General features: G+C 48.7%; 1 long non-coding RNA gene across 1 annotated transcript; it reads left to right on the top strand.

Moving 5' to 3' along the window:
* The first annotated feature begins 1,662 nt into the window (after nt 1–1,662).
* Nucleotides 1,663–3,790, top strand: LINC01729 (long intergenic non-protein coding RNA 1729). The gene is made up of 3 exons (NR_109860.1): nt 1,663–1,789; nt 3,337–3,404; nt 3,628–3,790. It is a non-coding gene; the product is annotated as a long intergenic non-protein coding RNA 1729 (long non-coding RNA).
* Nucleotides 3,791–6,035: the final 2,245 nt, after the last annotated feature.

Genomic DNA, 6,035 nt, shown 5'->3' with positions numbered 1-6,035 from the left:
CCTGCGGCAGCTCTCTGATGACCGAGTGTGGTGGGGATGCTAAGGCCAGGCTGGTTGCCCAGACCTACTTTGCTGCCTGACTGTTTCAAATAGTTGGTGAAGGCTCTGGATTTTCCTCAGAACTGTGGTCCGGAGTGCTCCCACCCCTTCTCTTCCCCTCTCTCCCTCACATTGGGAGTGAGACTTGCTTCATGGTCCGGTGGCTCTCCCAGTCTTTTGTAACTCTTTTCACAAAGGTATATCTCCCACTAAAACCCTTGCAATTTAATCCTGTCTTGGTGTCTGCTTCTCAGAAGAGCTGGATAACACACTCCAACCCTTCTCTCAGTCCCTGCAGCCCCTGTGGTGGGGTTGACTGTGGGTGACCACAGAGCCAGGCTGGCCTCGTCCAAACCGCAGGCTGCTACTTCACAAGGCCTGACCCCACTAAGAACTGTGTTTCTCCATGTTTCTGCTGGTCATATCCAGTGCATCTAGATTGCCTTTTTTTTTTGAGATGGAGATTCGCTCTTGTTGCCCAGGCTGGAGTGCAATGGCATGATCTTGGCTCACTGCAACTTCCGCCTCCCAGGTTCAAGCAATTCTCCTGTCTCAGCCCCCCGAGTAGCTGGAATTACAGTCATGAGCCACCACACTCGGCTAATTTTGTATTTTTAGTAGAGACAGGGTTTCTCCTTGTTGGTCAGGCTCGTCTCAAACTCCTGACCTCAGGTGATCCACCCGCCTTGGCCTCCCGAAGTGCTGGGATTACAGGCGTGAGCCACCATGCCTGGCTCATTTTTTTTTCTTTTTTAAGTAGAGATGGGGTTTTGCCATGTTGCCAAGGCTGTTCTGGAACTCCTGAGCTCAAACAGTCCTCCCACCTTGGCCCCCCAAAGTGCTGAGATTACAGGTGTGAGCCACCACACCCGGCCTGGACTACCAATCTTGATGGCAACATTAGACTGGGGGCCACTGTAGTCATAACAGTGGTGGACCAGGCAGCAGAGTCTTGTCTTCAGTACCATGGACACCGCAGCATCCAGTGCTAGCAGGTATTTTAGAATGCAGGGTCAGATGCATTCTAACCCTCCTCTGCCCTCCCTGAGAGGGCGACCCCAATCCTCCGCCCCTCCCTGCAGCTGCTAGGCAGGCCTCCTGCGCTCTTCACTGCCTCTAGCAGCGTCTTGAAACAGCTGGCTCTGGAAGGCATCCTGATTCTGGATTCAAGAGCTTTGCTTGGATTTCTGTATGAAGGTGTGAAGTGTGAATGCCACCTTTTCTGAGTTACATTTTCATTTTCTGTTGCAAACTTGGGACGTTTACTGAGGGACACTGAATAGTTGGGGGGTGGATGGGGCGAGGGAGGCAGTGGCTAGAAGGAAGGAAGGAAGCATTATAGCAGGGGGGCTCTCTGGGACAGGGCATAGGACAGAGATGGCTCCAGGAGGATTTCACAGGAAAGAATGAGGGGTGGGATGTAGTGATGTCACAAGAGTCCCACTGTGACCCCTCCCCCATCATTGGAGCAAGGACTGGCTAAGCCTGAGCAAGGGTGGGGGAAATAAATAAGGCACTGTTGCCAGGGCCTGAGCCCAGCAGGAAAAGGGTGTGTGCAGAGGGAGGGCCTCGGGTCCTGCTGCTCCTCCTGGACTCCTTCATCCCAATCCCTTCACATCCTTCTCTGACAAGGACTCCCACGTCCCTCCCCGGCTAACCTGGATCCTGCTCAACCCAACACCTGCCTTCTCTCGGTCCCTGGGTTCCCGCAGGCCTTGGGGCCCCACAGTCATATCTGCTGTTCCTGCAGGTCAGTGGCCAGGGTGGGGGTGGGTGTTGGTGCAAAGGAAACCTCTTGAAAGGGGCAGAGCACAGATGGGGCCTCCACCAGTCTTGCTGGGTGAGGGCTTCCCACCATCCTGGAATCCTCTCCTGGGTCTCTAGTTGACCACCCTCCTGCCTCCCCTTTTTCCTTGTTTTGGTCCTGCTGTTGGATTTCTTTTAAAATCCTCCTGCCTCCAGCCTCCCTTGATGATCAGTTCCTGCCTGGGGTCACCAGGCTGCTTCAAATTGGGGTGACCATGGTAGGGATGGTGACTTGAGATTCCTGGGCCATAATGCAGGTGAGAAATGTGCCCTACAGAGTAAAAAGGAACAGTGTCACTGCTGGGTCATTTTGAAGATGGGACTTAGGCAACACATGTCCCTTAAATCCAGTCTCTGAGGGTACCACAAATACCATGTTTTTTTTTTCAAATTCTAGCAGAGAGGTTGTACTGGGTTGAGAGAGAGGCCTCAGAATCAAGACCTTGTCTCCTGCCACAGTTTCCCTGGTGAAGCTCCCAGGCTGAGCACAAACTTCCAGGTCGAGCACAGAAGTTTCGACCTGGAAACTTCAGCCCTCAGAGAGGAGGTGGCACTAACGCTCTAGGTGGGCGGCTGCTCTATGGTCTTCTGCTGCCTGGAGAGCTTTGCCTCCATCACTGGTGCCCACCTGGGGAATGCTCAGGAACTACTCTTCAAAAGTACACTCGGATGCCCACTCTGCAAAGCCATTTTGTTTCCTTATTGTACCTCTGAAATCATTTGTTAACCAAGCATTTGCAAATCCGTCTGTCTTCTGTGTATGGCATATCTATAGACACTGCGGGTGAAAAACAAGGGCAAGACTCGATTCCTTTTCTTGCTTGCTTGCTTGCTTTCTTGCTTTCTTTGCTTTCTTGCTTTCTTTTCTTTTTTCTTCTTTTTCTTTTCTTTTTTTTTTTTTTGGAGACAGTTTTGCTCTTGTTGCCCAGGCTGGAGTGCAATGGTGCAATCTTGGCTCACTGCAACCTCCGCCTCCAGGGTTCAAGCAATTCTCCTGTTTCAGCCTCCCAAGTAGCTGGGATTACAGGCTCATGCCACCATGTCTGGCTAATTTTTGTATTTTTAGTAGAGATGGGGTTTCATCATATTGGTCAGGCTGGTCTCGAACTCCTGACCTCAGGTGATCCACCCGCTTCAGCCTCCCAAAGTGCTGGGATTACAGGTGTGAGCCACTGCACCTGGCCCTATTCCTTTTCTTAGGGAGCTCACAGTTCACTGGATGAGACAGAAGGAAGCTGATTCTGAAAGGAAACAGGGTGTGGTAAAGATAGGTCAGAGGGGTGAGCACAGAGGGGATCAAGAGAAGGGGGTGAAAGACCATTGTCATCAGTGCAGCCTTTTTGGGGAGCAATGTGTGAGCTGAGCTTTGGGAAGAAATGAGGTTTTAATGAGTGTGGGAGGAGAGCCCTCCTGAGATATGTGGAGAGACCAATGCCCCTCTTCCCTGCTGCTCCCCCTCTTGAAGCAGTTCCCTTCTTCCCTCTGTCCCAGCTCGGCACAGTCACAGCAACTCTCCAAATCATGACGCTCAAAATGCCACATCTAAAAAGAACATCCGGGTAGGTGCCTCTGCTTCTTCTGACTTGACCCCCCTTCCCTGCCCTCTTTGGGTCTCATGCAGTTCTTTCCCCTCACCCAACCTCCACACTCCCTTGACAGCAGTTGAAAACATTTGCTCTCTGAATCCCCATCTGCTTGTATATGATTCGTATCCTCTGTGAGTCAACAAGGTGAATATATTCCTCATTTGGTTGAGGGATTTTTTAAAAACATCTCCAACAGGCTCTGCCCCTAAGAAAGAATTCATGCACCTACAAAGAGGAAGGAACGGCACAGCCATCCACCTTTCAACTCCTGAGTTTCCATCTGCACCCTTCAACACTTATTAGGACTTACATGAAACTATGTGACATCTTTTTATTTCTATTAAACAAAATACAGCTTTCTTCCTTGTATCTGAAGAAGTTGGCACCCTCTACACAGAACAGGAGGCCCACAGTTCCAGCAGTTATTGTATACATCACTGACCACGTTAATGACTCCACAAAATCAATCCTGGGCCCACCAAATATTCTGTTGAAGATTAAATTATAAAATTAAACTCCAGCAACATGCATACACAGTTAATAAACTCAGGGAAAAGATCAAAATGGGACCTACATAAAAATTTTTTAAACTTTTTATTTATTCTGTTTCTCATGCTCGCTGAGGCTGGAGTGCAGTGGTGTGATCTCTGCTCACTGCAATCTCCGCCTCTGGGGTTCAAGCAATTCTCCTGCCTCAGCCTCCCGCGTAGCTGGGACAAGTGCATGCCACCATTCCTGGTTAATTTTTGTATTTTTAGTAGAGACGGGGTTTTGCCGTGTTGGCCAGGTTAGTCTTGACTCCTAGCCTCAAGTGATCTACCTGCCTCAGCCTAACAAAGTGTTGGGATTACAGGGAATGAGCCACCCGGCCCAGCTTTTTTTTTTTTTTTTCCTTGAGACAGGGTCCCTCTGTGTCATCCAGGCTGGAGTGCAGTGGCTCAATCATGGCTCACTCTAGATTGGACTTCCTGGGCTCAAGTGATCCTCCCACCTTAGTCTCCAGAGTAGCTGGTACTACTCAAACTGTACACAAAAATTAATTCGAAATGCATCAGAGACTTAAATATGAGAACTAACTATAAAGCTTTTTGAAGAAAACATAGATAAACATAGATAAATCTTTGTGACTTTGGATTAGGAAGCGATTTTTTTTTTTTTTTTTTTTGAGACAGAGTTTTGCTCTTGTTGCCCAGGCTGGAGTGCAATGGCACAATCTCGGCTCACCACAAGCTCCGCCTTCTGGGTTCAAGCAATTCTCCTGCCTCAGCCTCCCAAGTAGCTGGGATTACAGGCGTGTGCCACCACGCCTTGCTAATTTTGTATTAGAGACGAGGTTTCTCCATGTTGGTCAGGCTGGTCTCCAATTCCCGACCTCAGGTGATGTGCCCACCTCGGCCTCCCAAAGTGCTGGGATTACAGACGTGAGCCACTGCGCCCGGCCACGATTTCGTAAATATGACACCAAAAATAAAAGTGGCCGAGCATGGTGGGTCACGCCTGTAATCCCAGCACTTTGGGAGGCCAAAGCGGGAGGATCCCTTGATCGCAGGAGTTTGGACCAGTCTGGGCAACATAAGGGGACCCTGTGTCTACAAAACAAAATAAAAAAATTAGCTGGGTATGGTGGCATGTGCCTTCAGTCCCAGCTACTCCAGCTACTCCAGAGGCTGAGGAGGGAGGATCACTTAAGCTGAGGAGGTCAAGGCTGCAGTAAGCCATGATTGCACCACTGCACTCCAGCCTGGGTGACAGAGTGAGACCCTGTCTCAAAAAAAAGAAAAAAGTACAAGTGGCAAAAACAAAATTGGACTTCACCAAAATTTAAAAAAATTGACTTCAAATAACACCACCCAGAAAGTAAAAAGACAAGCCATAGGATGGGAGAAAAACCTGGCAACTTGTTTATCTCATGAGGGACTTGTATTAGAATACACAGGGAACTCTTACAACTCAACAAAAGGAAAATAACCTAAGTGAAAAATGAGTGAAAAATGTGCATGGACATTTCTCCAAAGATAATACACAAATTGCCAATAATCACATGATATGATGCTCAACACCATTAGTCATTAGGGAAAGGCAAATCAAACGCACAATGAGATGCCACCTTCTACCCCTTAGGATGGCTATGATAAAATCTACAGACAAGAACAAGTGTTAGCAAGGATGGAGGAAAAAACCCTCATCACTGCTGGTGGGAATGTGAAATGGTGCAGCCACTTTAGAAAACAGATTGGCGGCCAGGTGCTGTGTCTCATGCCTGTAATCCCAGCAATTGGGAGGCCAAGATGGGTGGATTGCCTGAGGTCAGGAGTTCGAGAGCAGCCTGGGCAACATGATGAAACCCTGTCTCTACAAACAAACAAACAAACAAACAAAGAAACAAACAAAAAAACATTATGCAGGCATGGTGGCATGTTCCTGTAGTCTCAGCTACTTAAGGAGCTGAGACAGGAGGGTCACTTGAGCCCAGGAGGTTGATGCTGCAGTGAGTGGTGTTTGTGCCATTGCACTCCAGCCTGGGTGACAGAGTGAGACCACATCTCTGAAAAAAAAAAAAAAGAAAAAAAAAAAAAAAGAAGAGGGGAAACAGGTTGGCAATTC

This window comes from Homo sapiens, chromosome 20 (genome assembly GCF_000001405.40).
Source record: "Homo sapiens chromosome 20, GRCh38.p14 Primary Assembly".
NCBI lineage: Eukaryota > Metazoa > Chordata > Mammalia > Primates > Hominidae > Homo > Homo sapiens.
This window is presented reverse-complemented; position numbering and strand designations above follow the sequence as displayed.